This window comes from Homo sapiens, chromosome 11 (assembly GCF_000001405.40).
Source record: "Homo sapiens chromosome 11, GRCh38.p14 Primary Assembly".
Classification (NCBI taxonomy): domain Eukaryota; kingdom Metazoa; phylum Chordata; class Mammalia; order Primates; family Hominidae; genus Homo; species Homo sapiens.
The window spans coordinates 35082797-35098140 of NC_000011.10; the positions used below are offsets into that span (position 1 = coordinate 35082797).

General features: G+C 43.1%; 1 long non-coding RNA gene across 3 annotated transcripts, besides 3 other annotated features; it reads left to right on the forward strand.

The window, feature by feature from the left end:
* Positions 37 to 15058, forward strand: LOC105376627 (uncharacterized). 3 transcript variants are annotated; one of them, XR_931194.2, is made up of 4 exons: positions 37 to 4090; positions 5642 to 5779; positions 7933 to 7988; positions 14722 to 15058. It is a non-coding gene; the product is annotated as an uncharacterized LOC105376627 (long non-coding RNA). The 3 variants fall into 3 exon arrangements; XR_931193.3 differs by lacking the exon at positions 37 to 4090 and adding an exon at positions 5234 to 5480; XR_001748184.2 differs by lacking the exons at positions 37 to 4090; positions 7933 to 7988 and adding an exon at positions 5234 to 5480.
* Positions 115 to 234: an enhancer, noted in NCBI's record as "active region_4614". NCBI's record gives its function as "activates an Ori minimal core promoter by ATAC-STARR-seq in GM12878 lymphoblastoid cells {active_cell/tissue: GM12878}" and the evidence as "EXISTENCE:reporter gene assay evidence [ECO:0000049][PMID:35858748]".
* Positions 585 to 734: an enhancer, noted in NCBI's record as "active region_4615". NCBI's record gives its function as "activates an Ori minimal core promoter by ATAC-STARR-seq in GM12878 lymphoblastoid cells {active_cell/tissue: GM12878}" and the evidence as "EXISTENCE:reporter gene assay evidence [ECO:0000049][PMID:35858748]".
* Positions 6996 to 7105: an enhancer, noted in NCBI's record as "active region_4616". NCBI's record gives its function as "activates an Ori minimal core promoter by ATAC-STARR-seq in GM12878 lymphoblastoid cells {active_cell/tissue: GM12878}" and the evidence as "EXISTENCE:reporter gene assay evidence [ECO:0000049][PMID:35858748]".
* Positions 15059 to 15344: the final 286 nt, after the last annotated feature.

A 15344-nucleotide genomic window follows, 5' to 3' on the forward strand; every position in this document is an offset into this window, starting at 1 on the left:
TCCTCCCACACCCCAAAAGAAGCCACACAGCTAGCCAGAGAGGGGCTGCCTCTGGAATGCACACCAGGGCTTGTCCACACACACTCCCCGGCCCTCTGCGCCTCTTTAGGGAGGTTCCTGCTGCTGGATCTGCTGCCTTCTTCACCTTGAGAGTGCATTTATGTAACAAGAAAACACCTGGGTGTTTTCACAGGTAGGAAGAGATTGGCGGCTGAGCTGTTCTCTCATTTGGATGCAAGGCTGTGAGATGGGGCCTCTGTTGGCCTAGAGGTCCCGAGAAATTGGGAGGAGAGGTGCCAGTAGCAAGCCCCAAGGTCGGGGTTCCTCCTCTAACCTCTCTGTGGGGTGGAGGCATCCACACCAAACCTTAAGAGGGAGCAATGGGTCTAACTGCTAATTCTGAAGGTGAGCAGGCCCGTTTCCACATGCCAATGTCAAAATCCAACCACAGTTTGACAAGCCTTTGGGAACATCCAGTAATTACATAATAGCACTCCCAAACATGACAAGTGCTTTCATCTTTACAAAGACTGTCGTGTTTGTTCTCACTCTCCTCCCCATATGAGTTGCTTCTCTTTCTTTCCCCTATTTTGCAGATAAGAAGGTGGAGGCTCAGGAAGGTAGAGTGACTTTCTACTACTAAAGAACTAGCAGGAAAGTATTTCAAATTCAAGTCTCATGACCCTAAATGCAGGGTATTTCCCAGTGGCTCATGGTAAATGAGTTCCTTAAAAATGAGCCACGCTGAGGCCTGAAACTACAGGGCTTACTGATGTGGCTGCAAGCTGCAGCTCTAAGCCAGAAAGGGGACAAGCTAAGGAGAAGAGGAACCACCTTTGCACTGGCGGACTTCAGCGTGTCTCACGCATGCCGAATGTTTACATGTGTTCCCCACTTGGTATCCATAGCAACTGGCAGAGGTGCAAAAATGCTTCATTGGTATTTGTAAGAGGATGAGAAGAAAGCCCTCCAAGATCCTCTTTCTCCCAGTGGGCAGGGCTATTTCCATCCATGGCTTCGTGACTTCTCCCAGCAGCCGTTTGGCATGAGGATTTCAAACAGCAGGGAGCCAGTGAGTCCACCGGATAGGTATTTGAAATGTACTGAATGGAAAGCCCTCATCTCCTGCTCCCTCTTCCAGGCAATTATTCATGGAGTCAGGAGAGGATTCTGTTATTCAAGGAGTCTCCATAGTAAGGGGCTGAGAGATTGTGGTTTCTAGTCTTTAACCACAACATTTAAGGCGTGGCTCCATTTTTCTTATAATTTCCAAGTGTACATCATTACCTAATTCTCCCTGAAGAATCGAAATTGCTTTATGATGCATATGTATTAGTGATGTGAGCTGAGGTTCGGAGCCAGCAAACATCTTTCTCAGAAACCTCCCTCTTGTTCTCCTCTCCCATGTTGCCCCTTGAAGTTACTCCTTCTACCAGAGATGCTCAAAGGTTCTTGGTCAGAAAGTCTATATTGCAGCAATTAAAACTGGGGTTCAACTCAACATATGTGTAGCAGAATATTTTATCTCTCAGCATCTCAATTTGTGACTTAAATGATTCATGAGATGTTTGTTAGTGCATTATGGTCAAAAGCACCTTTCTAAGTGCTTTGAGAGAAACAAGAATAAAAGCATTCCTAACCACACCCTGCCCCCTGCAATCCCACCAAGGATCTTACAAAACCCATTTGGCTAAGCTCTTATATAGCATTGAACCAATCACTGCACACTCAGCATGTGACCAACACATATATTGAAGCCCACGTGAAAAACTGAGCACCTATTCAAGTTTCCCAGGCAGGGCTAGATTCATGGGCAGGTAACCAGTGCAGTTGCACAGGGACCTCTGCTCAGAAGGCCTTGCTTGGGGTTTAATGCACAATTCTTAATTTATCTTTCAATGTGTATTTTGTAAGAGGAGTCTCATGGGACAAAGGAGCTCACTCGTGGTCCTGCCTCCTACCCACCCTCTGTTTGGGCCCTTAGTGTCCCAGGCTCCACTCTACCTACTCCCCACCCTCTGCTCCACAACACTTGCTACCCTTCCCTCAGGGTGACTACTAGGTCAGGTTGGCAGACAGGGAGGCAACATTCTGCCCACACCCTCTGCAGGGGCCTGGGAGCAGTTGTGGGGAGAGGCTCTGCTGGGTATGCACACCATGGCATCCTGGGAAAGAGCATGGCGGTGTTGTCCCTACCCTGGGCTGACAGCACGGTGGTATATTTGGAAGGCAACTGGATGGGGCCTTCTCACCCACTCCTATCCAGGTTACAGGTGTGTCCTGGTGTGGAGGTTGCAATCCCTTGGTAGGGGCACTGTAGATAGACTGAGGAGAGACAGGCTGTGGGAAGGAGAAACTAACTTATCTGCCATGGCTAGGCCTCATTTTCACTTTGCACTTAGGTCCCACCATTATGTAGCCAGCTCTGGTCCTGGACCAAATGGCCTCTAGTGACTCCCTCTTTCCAATCTAAGCAGGTCTTGCACAACTGTCATGAATGAAGCCAATTCTGATTTCCTATCAGTTCAATTTTTTAAAAATTGCATTCTGTTCCTCAGAATCCATTCCAACCATAAAAACATGAAAAATTGATTTTGATCTCAGTATAACATCACCTCATAAATATATTTTATATAATCACGATCTTTAGAACTTGCTCTCTGTATAAAATGGGTTTCACACCTCAGCTCTTAAAGGCACTTGTTTATTATGGAAAATCAAGCATAATGTAAAATTTACATCTTAAGTGTGGCTTATGAGAGATTTTCCTGCAGAGACAGGACTGACTGAAGCTTTGTTCTTTAAACTTGGGCAAACATTTTACATGTTGAAAAGTATCATTTTGATGATGATTTCTTTTCAACACTTTTCCAGCTTTCGAAGGAAGAATTACAAATAACAAGGCATGACACTTCCCCCAAAGGTATATTTTTAGCAATTTAATACCTGGTAAATTTTTCTTTCTTTTTGCTCAACAGCTAGGCGACTGCATAGGAGGTTGGCCCAAGCCAACACACATTCATTGGACATCTGCCATGATGTGAGCCAAACCCTGGGCCCCAGGAAGTGTGGAAAATATACAGATAAATTAGAAGGTCCCTGCCCTTAAAAAGCATCTAAGACCCTTAGTTGCTGAATAGACATAAATCTGTAGCTGCTGAAGGAGATGGCCAAGAGCTAGAAGGAGGCTGGCAGGCACTGCTTAGTGCCTTACTCCTCTCTGAGCACCATATTGTCAGCAGAAGAGGCCGCTTGGCCCAGGCTGACTGTGGACAGGTCTTGATAACTTGAGGTCCACTGGGAGTTGCTGTCTGCAGCCTGACACATAGAACGCCTTGCTTTTTGTTCTCTGTCTGTTATAGAAGTTGCTTTTGGAAAAGCACCATTTCTTGGGTCAGCATGAAGATTACCCTTGTGGTAGATGCTGGAAATATTAACTATTATTAACAAATATTACTTAGGGCTTGCTATAGGTGAGGCACCGTACTGGATTCTAAGCCTCTGGTCCCTGCTCTCAGGGCATCATGGTAAGTTGGAAAAGATATGTAAGCAAATGACTAAAGTGTGTATGGAACTTGGCACTGGGGAAGTGACAGTCAAAAGTCAGTTAAATCTCAGCTGTGACTTCAGCTGGCATAGTGACTTTGATCAATGCCTGCAAATTCTCTGGGCTCTGGTTTCTTTATTTGTAAAATGGATGTGTGGCTGAGGAGAAAGAACTTGTCTATCTGGTCTCCAAGTTGACTTTTCTGTTAAAATTCCCTGACTCTTTGAGCCTCCTAGAAATAATCAGCCCCCGATAGGCAAGCTTCCCTTTGACCTGTTTATTAGTTTTCTAGGGCTGCCATAGAAAGTACGGCAAACAGGGCACCTGTAGTCCCAGCGAGGCTGAGGCAGGAGAATGGCGTGAACCCGGGAGGCGGAGCTTGCACTGAGCCGAGATCGCGCCACTGCACTCCAGCCTGGGCGACAGAGCAAGACTCCGTCTCAAAAAAAAAAAGAAAGTACAGCAAACAGAGTGACGTAAACAACAGAAATTTATTGTCTCATGGTTCTGGAGTCTACAAGTTGGACATCTAAGTATCTGCAGGTTGGTTCCTTCTAAGGGCTGTGAGGGAGAATCTGCTCCATGACTCTTCCCTGGCTTCTGGTTTGCTGGAGATTTTTTACATTCCTTGGCTTATAGATCCCTGTCTTCGTGTTCATATGATGTTCTCCTCTGTGTATCTGTGCCCAAATTTCCCCTTTTCATAGGGATACCAACCATATTAGACTACAGGCCCACCCTACATCATTATAAATTCGTCTTAACTAATCACACTTGCAAAGACCCTATTTCCAAATAAGGCCATGTTCTGGTGTATTGGCAGTAGGACTTCAACTTATGAATTTTGGGGGGACACAATTCAACCCATAACAACTAGGTTTATTCATTTCTACCTTAGAATCTTTGGTCCAGTCTGACCCAAGATGGTAAATAGTTTTCATTTCAGTTGCTAAATCTTATCAATTAAAGTCATTACCTGGAGTGTTGTGTGAAGACATGTGAGTTGACATCTTTTTCCCTTTAGTGGGAAAGGCAACCGGAATTGGTTCAGCCCACCTGAGAAACAGGAGATTTAAAAAATCCTACTGTCTATCTTTGAACCAAGGACCCCACCCAAAAGGGAGAAACCTACAAAGAACTACTTTTTTTGGAGCTCTCCAATTGAAATGGTTCCCAAAAGGTGATTGCCAATTTGCAATCTTGCTACAGACAATCACACTAGCAGGGCCATCAAGCCCATCCCATGAGAATGATCAAATCTCCAATAAGACTCAGCTGTTCCATGGGGGAGTGAGGGGAATGAAGCATTCAGAAAGATAAAATCATCTGGGTTTTCTGAATGTTTTCCCTGCTGAGGTTGAGGCTGAGAACTTGCATTGGCTGAAGACTTGCAGCTGGAACCAGATAGGAAGTAAGCTTCTGGAAGCACTAAAATGAATTGTCACTCCCACTCTCGATACCCACAGCTTCAAAACCACCAGATGCTGACAGCTGCTGTGGAAATCTAAGCAAGTGGAGGGATATCCAGATTGAGCTGGCCAAGTTTGGTACAAGAGCTAAGAGTCTGGGAACAATGGGAGGTCAGCTTTCTGTGTCACTGTGGATACAAAGGAAGTACTTTTGAGACACAGACAGGAAGTGACTGAGGACTTTAAGGGCAGCTTGGGCTATCCAGGAAAGTTCTTCATTCTTGTTTTTTTCTGCTGAGGCTCTAGAGGGACACCTGTCAGACTGACCAAGGCCGAAGATGGCTCCCTACCAGAGAGATTCAACTGAGGGCTTGCGATAGGTCTTGTGACATTGCTATTGATCTTGAGACATTCATCTGAAGCATGATTGTCACTGGCTTCAAACTTTCCTCATCATAAGAGAGGGACTGGGTCTACTTCAAATGTTTCGCACTAATGAAGTTAACATTCCCTTTCATGGTGAGGTAAGTTGATTGCATTAACAGCCCCAGTTTTTCATTCTCCCCTGAGGCCACCCATTTGGTAGTACCCTCCCACACTGATTCTTGGTTTAGTCATGTAACTTGCTTTAACCTCCAACAGAAGCTTGAAAAACACTTGTTCATTTCTGCTTGCCCTCCTTAAGCTCTGCCCTCATCATGAGACCATGCCCAGGCTAGTCTGCTGGAAGGAAGTCAGAGGCACACGGAAGAGAGCCACATTCAGCCAAGGCCATTCTAGACCAGTTGTTCCCTGTCACTTCACTAATTGGCCACAGCACAAGGTAAGTACAGCCAAGATCAGCAGAATCACCCAGCTGACCTGTTGAATTATGAGAAATAAGGAATGGTTGTTGTTTTAAGTCACTAAATTTTGCAGTGGTTTGTTACTTAGCAATAACTAGTAAAAATGGTCTTCTTCATGTAAGGGTAAAGAGGGAGGGTTCATAGATTGGGCTTAAACTGTGTTCACTGTTGACATTCAATCTGACTAGGAAGCTCTGAGAAACTGACTGGGCAGGTCTGTTAGAAGGCTATTTGCATGTGATGCCTCCAGGAAGAGAACGTCCTAAGGCAAGAACAAGTCAAGGAGAGAAGGCTGGCCAGGGAACAAAGACTTAGTCATAGAGAGGCTGAGAAAATCCACCCCGGTGTCTGTCATTCTAATGGGTCCTCTGGCTTAGGCTCAATAGATTATTGTCTGACTCTTACAGTTGAAGGTAGAGGCAAGGTGTAGGTAGAAAGGATTATTTCAGTAACAGCTCCATAGGACGCCGAGACACAAGCTCCACAGCATTAAGATTAGTGTAAAAAAAAAAAAAGTAATACAATTGCAGCAGGCTGGGTGTGGTGGCTCACACCTATAGTCCCAGCACTTTGGAAGGCTGAGGTGGGAGGATTGCTTGAGGCCAGGAGCTTGAGACCAGTCTGGGCAACATAGTGAGATCCTATCTCTATTAAAAAAAAAAAAGTAATAGCCAGGCATGGTGGCACACAGCTGTAGTCCCAGTGACTTGGGAGGTTGAGGTGGGAGAATTGCTGGAGCCCAGAAATTGGAGGCTGCAGTGAGCTATGGTCATACCACTGCACTCCAGTCTGGGTGACAGAGCAAGATCCCATCTCAAAAATATAACAATAAAAGCTATTGTAGCAAGAGAGGATCTCTGTGAACGAACTACAAGTTCAGCACCCAGATGATTTCAGCATCTTAGTCAAAGGCCAATGCCCAGGAGGAGAAGATGGTGCCCAGCAGAAAGAGACTTAGTAACATCTGTCTAAATAGCTACATTAATTTATTATTTCATTCATTTATGCATTCGACAAACATTGAGGGCTATCCCAATTACTTTTTGTAAGGTTATGATGAACGGGGATCAAATGTTTTCGTAAGGTAGGATTCCTATCCATAAGAAGCCCAAGGACTGGTTCACATTAAAATATACTTTTTCTCTTGTGTTCTCTTGATTGATTGGTAATGACTGCTTACAGCACTCCAGGAACATTTGAGAGCCACATCCTGGTGCAGAGAAGTGCTGTGATTGATTAGCAATGTATGCTTTGGCCACATATTTGTAACCCTGAAGGTCTGGATTTCTGTCTGGCTCCATAAATAGCATGTAGTTTGAGACCTATGAACTAGGCCATTTGCATGTCTTATATGAAAAATCCCTCTCCCACTTCCTCTTCTGAGGCTGAGGGACAAAGAGATGAACTGATCTCAAGAGAGGAGGTTCCAAGTTGTCACTCTTCTTTTTTGACAAACAAAAGAGAATGATATTTTCTCTGTATCTACTTCAACTCCTCCCGTGTAAGTCAGAAAGATAATCCTTAGGACGGGGTGGGGGGGGTGGGGTGTGGAGAATAAAAATCCATGTACAATGACAAAAAGTACTCCGCCTTCCACCTACAGAGTGATAAAGGGTTTGAGGATGTGAGACCATAACCCAGCCTTGAAAGTAAGCATGAAATAGTACGAGCCCATGTTGACTTGGTGCTGTATGGACAATGAAATAAAATCCAACCAGCCAGGTTTGTCTGGTATGAATGTGGTTAATCTGTTGACAGCTTGGGAGCCTACAGGAACTATAGAGTGATGGGCAGAGCTCTCAAAGCACATTTGATAGTATTGTGGCTGACTCTTCAGTAGTCTCGCTGATAAGTTCCACTTGGATTTAGATGCTTACTACTCAGACAATTGTGGGGAGACAAAAGATTTTCAATTCACTCTACTACTCTGTTCTAGAAGGTCTATTTGTTTTGTGAGCCAATGAGAACTCAAAAGGCTGAGAACTTAATCTAATATAGCTTTTGTCATCTGCAAGACCTGTTCTCAAATCTCTGCTCTGTCATTCTTTACTCGTGTGACTCTGGGCAAATGCCATAAGCCTCAGGGTCTTCATCTGAAACACTCAGGGATAATAATAATGCTTGTCTCCAGGTTTTGTTGAAGATTGAATGAGTGTGTAAAGTGCCCAACAGAAAGTCTGGCACATGGTAAGTACTCAATGAATGGTCGACATAATCATTAACATTAGAGTTTTGGACACTCGAATCATCACTCACCTCATCTCCTTTCCACCTTCTCTTTTCTACTCACAAAAAGGCTTTGTGCTGTGGTCTGAATGTTTATGACCCCCAAAATTCATAAGTCAAAATGCTAACCCCCTAGGTGATGGTAATAGGAAGTGGGGCCTTTTGGAACAGATTATTAGGCCATGCAAGTGGAGCCCTCATCAATAGGATTAGTGTCCTTATAAAAGAGGCCTCAGAGGCACCTGCCTTTGCTGAGGCTTCAGTAGGTAAACAAAGTGGCCAGGGAAGCTCGAACTGGGCAGAGCCCACCGCAGCTCAGCAAGGCCGGCTGCCTCTGTAGTCTCCACCTCTGGGGGCAGGGCATAGTCTCCACCTTTGTTCTGCTGAACAAAGGCAGCAGAAACGTCTGCAGACTTAAGCATCCCTGTCTGACAGCTCTGAAGAGAGCAGTGGTTCTCCCAGTATGGTGTTTCAGCTAGGAGAATGGACAGACTGCCTCCTCAAGTGGATCCCTGACCCCCGTGTAGCCTAACTGGCAGACACCTCCCAGTAGGGGCCGACTGACACCTCATACAGGCGGGTGCCCCTCTGAGACGAAGCTTCCAGAGGAAGGATCAGGGAGCAATATTTTCTGTTCTGCAATATTTGCTGTTCTGCAGCCTCCACTGGTGATACCCAGGCAAACAGGATCTGGAGTGGACCTCCAGCAAACTCCAACAGACCTGCAGCTGAGGGACCTGACTGTTAGAAGGAAAACTAACAAACAGAAAGGAATAACATCAACATCAACAAAAAGGGCATCCACACCAAAGCCCCATCTCTAGGTCACCAACATCAAAGATCAAAGGTAGATAAAACCACAAAGATGGGGAGAAACCAGAGTAGAAAAGCTGAAAATTCTAAAAACCAGAGCGCCTCTTCTCCTCCAAAGGATCACAGCTCCTCGCCAGTAGGGGAACAAAGCTGGACATAGAATGACTTTGACAAGTTAACAGAAGTAGGCTTCAGAAGGTCGGTAATAACAAACTTCCCTGAGCTAAAGTAGGATGTTCAAACCCATCGCAAGGAAGCTAAAAACCTTGAAAAAAGATTAGACGAATGGCTAACTAGAATAACCAGTGTATAGAAGACCTTAAATGACCTGATGGAGCTGAAAACCATGGCATGAAAACTACATGACGCATGCACAAGCTTCAATGGCCGATTCAATCAGGTGGAAGAAAGGGTATCAGTGATTGAAGATCAAATTAATGAAATAAAGCAAGAAGACAAGGTTAGAGAAAAAAGAGTAAAAAGAAATGAACAAAGCCTCCAAGAAACATGGGACTGTGTGAAAAGACCAAACCTACGCTTGATTAGTGTACCTGAAAGTGACGGGGAGAATGGAACCAAGTTGGAAAACACTCTTCAGGATATTATCCAGGAGAACTTCCCCAACCTACAAAGGCAGGCCAACATTCAAACTCAGGAAATACTGAGAACACCACAAAGATACTCCTCGCGAAGAGGAACCCCAAGACACATAATTGTCAGATTTGCCAAGGTTGAAATGAAGGATAAAATGTTAAGGGCAACCAGAGAGAAAGGTCGGGGTACCCACAAAGGGAAGCCCATCAGACTAACAGCTGATCTCTTGGCAGAAACTCTACAAGCCAGAAGAGAGTGGGGGCCAATATTCAACATTCTTAAAGAAAAAAATTTTCAACCCAGAATTTCATATCCAGCCAAACTGAGCTTCATAAGTGAAGGAGAAATAAAATCCTTTACAGACAAGCAAACGCTGAGAGATTTTGTCACCACCAGGCCTGCCTTACAAGAGCTCCTGAAGGAAGCACTAAACATGGAAAGGAACAACCAGTAACAGCCACTGCAAAAATATGCCAAATTGTAAAGACCATTGATGTTAGAAAGAAACTGCATCAACTAACGGGCAAAATAACAGCTAACATCATAATGACAGGATCAACTTCACACATAACAATATTAACCTTAAATGCAAATGAGCTAAATGCCCCAATTAAAAGACACAGACTGGCAAATTTGATAAAGAGTCAAGACCCATCAGGAGACCCATCTCACGTGCAGAGACACACATAGGCGCAAAATAAAGGATGGAGGAAGATCTACCAAGCAAATGGAAAGCAAAAAAAAAGCAGGGGTTGCAATCTTAGTCTTTGATAAAACAGACTTTAAAGCAACAAAGATTAAAAGAGACAAAGAAGGCGATTAAATAATGGTAAAGGGATTAATTCGACAAGAAGAGCTAACTATCCTAAATATATATGCACTCAATACAGGAGCACCCAGATTCATAAAGCAAGTTCTTAGAGACCTACACAGAGACTTAGACTCCCACACAATAATAATGGGAGACTTTAACACCCCACTGTCAATATTAGACAGATCAATGAGACAGAAGGTTAACAAGGATATCCAGGACTTGAACTCAGCTCTGCACCAAGCAGACCTAATAGATATCTACAGAACTCTTCACCCCAGATCAACAGAATATACATTCTTCTCAGCACCACATCTCACTTATTCCAAAATTGACCACATAGTTGGAAGTAAAAAACTCCTCAGCAAATGTAAAAGAACAGAAATCACAACAAACTGTCTCTCAGACCACAGTGAAATCAAATTAGAACTCAGGATTAAGAAACTCACTAAAAACTGCACAATGACATGGAAACTGCTCCTGAATGACTACTGGGTAAAAAACAAAATGAAGGCAGAAATAAAGATGTTCTTTGAAACCAATAAGAACAAAGGCACAACATACCAGAATCTCTGGGACACATTTAAAGCAGTGTGTAGAGGGAAATTTATAGCACTAAATTCCCACAAGAGAAAGCAGGAAAGATCTAAAATCGACCCCCTAACATCACAGTTAAAAGAACTAGAAAAGCAAGCGCAAACAAATTCAAAAGCTAGCAGAAGGCAAGAAATAACTAAGATCAGAGCAGAACTGAAGGAGATAGAGACACAAAAAACCCTTCAAAAAATCAATGAATCCAGGAGCTGGTTTTTTGAAAAGATCAACAAAATTGATAGACCACTAGCAAGACTAATAAAGAAGAAAAGAGAGAAGAATCAAATAGACGCAATAAAAAATGATAAAGGGGTTATCACCACCGATCTCACAGAAATACAAACTACCTTCAGAGAATACTATAACCACCTCTATGCAAATAAACTAGGAAACCTAGAAGAAATGGATAAATTCCTGGACACATACACCCTCCCAAGACTAAACCAGGAAGTTGAATCTATGACTAGACCAATAACAGGTTCTGAAATTGAGGCAATAATTAATAGCCTACCAACCAAAAAGAGTCCTGGACCAGACGGATTTACAGCCGAATTCTACCAGAGGTACAAAGAGGAGCTGGTACCATTCCTTCTGAAACTATCCCAATCAATAGAAAAAGAGGGAATCCTCCCTAATTCATTTTATGAGGGCAGCATCATCCTAATACCAAAGCCTGGCAGAGACACAACAAAAAAAGAGAATTTTAGACCAATATCCCTGATGAACATCAATGCAAAAATCCTCAATAAAATACTGGCAAACCGAATCCAGCAGCACATCAAAAAGCTTATCCACCACGATGAAGTTAGCTTCATCCCTGGGATGCAAGGCTGGTTCGAAATACCCAAATCAATAAACGTAATCCATCACATAAACAGAACCAACAACAAAAACCACATGATTATCTCAATAGATGCAGAAAAGGCCTTAAACAAAATTCTCAACAGTCCTTCAGGCTAAAAACTCTCAATAAACTAGGTATTGATGGAATGTATCTCAAAATAAGAGCTATTTATGACAAACCCACAGCCAATATCATATTGAATGGGCAAAAACTGAAAGCATTCTCTTTGAAAACTGGCACAAGACAGGGATGCCCTCTCTCAACACATATTCAACATAGTGTTGGAAGTTCTGGCCAGGGCAATCAGGCAAGAGAAAGAAATAAGAGAATTCAGTTAGGAAAAGAGGAAGTCAAATTGTCCCTGTTTGCAAATGACATGATTTTATATTTAGAAAACCCCATCCTCTCAGCCCAAAATCTCCTTAAGCTGATAAGCAACTTCAGCAAAGTCTCAGGATACAATATCAATGTGCAAAAATCACAAGCATTTCTATATACCAATAACAGACAAACAGAGAGCCAAATCATGAGTGAACTCCCATTCACAATTGCTACAAAGAGAATAAAATATCTAGGAATCCAACTTACAAAGGATGTGAAGGACCTCTTCAAAGAGAACTACAAACCACTGCTCAGTGAAATAAAAGAGGACACAAACAAATGGAAGAACATTCCATGCTCATGGACAGAAAGAATCAATATCGTGAAAATGGCCATACTGCCCAAGGTAATTTGTAGATTCAATGCCATCCCCATCAAACTTCCAATGACTTTCTTCTCAGAATTGGAAAAAACTACTTTAAAGTTCATATAGAACCAAAAAAGAGCCCGCACTGCCAAGAAAATCCTAAGCAAAAAGAACAAAGCTGGAGGAATCATGCTACCTGACTTCAAACTATACTACAAGACTACAGTAACAAAAACAGCCTGGTACTGGACCAAAACAGATATATAGACCAATGGAAAAGAACATAGGCCTCAGAAATAATACCACACATCTACAACCATCTGATCTTTGACAAACCTGACAAAAACAAGAAATGAGGAAAGGATTGCCTATTTAATAAATGGTGCTGGGAAAACTGGCTAGCCATATGTAGAAAGCTGAAACTGGATCCCTTCCTTACACCTTATACAAAAATTAATTCAAGATGGATTAAAGACTTAAATGTTAGATCTAAAATCATAAACACCCTAGAAGAAAACCTAGGCAATACCATTCAGGACATAGGCATGGGCAAAGACTTCATGACTAAAACACCAAAAGCAATGGCAACAAAAGGCAAAATAGACAAATGGATCTAATTAAACTAAAGAGCTTCCGCACAGCAAAAGAAACTACCATCAGAGTGAACAGGGAACCTACAGAATGGGAGAAAATTTTTGCAATCTCCTCATCTGACAAAGGGCTAATATCCAGAATCTTCAAAGAACTTAAACCAATTTATAAGAAAAAAACAAACAACCCCGTCAAAAAGTGGGCACAGGATATGAACAGACACTTCTCAAAAGAAGACATTTATGCAGCCAACAGACACATGAAAAAATGCTCATCATCACTAGTCATCAGAGAAATGCAAATCAAAACCACAATGAGATACCATCTCACACCAGTTAGAATGGCAATCATTAAAAAGTCAGGAAACAACAGGTGCTGGAGAGGACGTGGAGAAATAGGAACGCTTTTACACTGTTGGTGGGACTGTAAACTAGTTCAACCATTGTGGAAGACAGTGTGGCGATTCCTCAAGGATCTAGAACTAGAAATACCATTTGACCCAGTGATCCCATTACTGGGTATATACCCAAAGGATTACAAATCGTGCTACTATAAAGACACATGCACACATATGTTTATTGTGGCACTATTCACAATAGCAAAGATTTGGAACCAATCCAAATGTTCATCAATGATAGACTGGATTAAGAAAATGTGGCACATGTACACCATGGAATACTTTGCAGCCACAAAAAGGATGAGTTCATGTCCTCTGTGGGGACATGGATGCAGCTGGAAACCATCATTCTGAGCAAACTATCACAAGGACAGAAAACCAAACACCATATGTTCTCACTCATAGGTAGGAATTGAACAATGAGAACACATGGACACAGCGGGGGAACATCACACCCCGGGGCCTGTCATGGGGTGGGGGCAGGGGGAGGGATAGCATTAGGAGAAATACCTAATGTAAATGACTAATTAATGGGTGCAGCAAATGAACATGGCACGTATATACCTATGTAACAAGCGTGCCCGTTGTGCACATGTACCCTAGAACTTAAAGTATAATAAAAATAAATAAATAAATAAATAAATAAATAAATAAATAGATAAAAGAGGCCCCAGAGAGACTCATCTTTTCAGCCATGTGAGGACACAGCAACACATTGGCTGTCCATCAGCCAGGAAGTGGGCTCTCACCAGACAGCAAATCTGCTGATGCAGTGATCTTGGACTTCCTAACCTCCAGAACTGTGAGAAATAAATTTCTGTTGTTTATAAGCCACCCAGTTTATGGTGTTTTGTTATAATGGTCTGAACATACTGTGCCAGTTGGGCTTTAATGCCCCTTGGCCAGAAGCTCTGGGTGCAGGCCCTGAGGAGGGCTGAGTCTCTCCTCTTCTCTTTCTCCCAGCCTGGCCTCAAGCTGCCCCAGTGAGCACAGGCCATGTGGTGGTACACTGGCTTCCAAAAGGTCATGCAGTGTTAAATGGTATTTCTGGTTCCAGATATTTGAGGAATTGCCACACCATCTTCCACAGTGGTTGAACTAATTTACATTCCCCCCAACAGTGTAAAAGCATTCCTATTTCTCCACAACCTTGTTACTGGGTGTATACCCAAAGGGATCTAAGTCATTCTATTACAAAGATATATGCATGCATATGTTTATTGCAGCACTATTCACAATAGCGAAGACATGGAATCAACCCAAATGCTCATCAATGATAGACTGCATTAAAGAAAATATGGTACATATACACTATGGAATACTATGCAGCCATAAAAAGTACTGTGATCTTTTCTTCTGCAGGTACACGGATGGAGCTGGAAGCCATTATCCTCAGCAAACTAATGTAGGAACAGAAAACCAAATATTGCATGTTCTTACTTATAAGTGGGAGCTGAACAACGAGAACACATGGACACAGGGAGGGAAACAACACACACTGGGGCCTGTCCAGCAGTAAGGTTGAGGCAGGGAAAGCATTAGGAAAAATAGCTATGCATGCTGGGCTGAATACTGGGTGATGGATTGATAGGTGCAGCAAACCACCATGGCATATGTTTACCTTTGTAAGAAACCAGCACATCCTGCACATGTACCCTGGAACTTAAAATAAAAATTAAAATGTTTTTTAAAAAAGTCATGATGTTTTCTCAGCAGCCCAGTTTACTTTTCCAGACCCCTCTGGCATGTGTTACTCCAGAAAAAGGCCGGTGTGTGTGAAACCCAGGCCACTGTGACACTGTATAATGAGAGGGACAGGCAGGGAGGAGGGAGAAGGTTGCTCCAGCCAAAGCCAGCAGCACCCCGGGAGCTGCTGTATCTGGCCAAAGGCTGTTTACACTTTGCTGCAGACATCGAGGCCTGCTGTTCAGGGGAGGAGGATTTCAATATGTGACCCCACAAGGTACAAGCAGAGCCACCTCTGT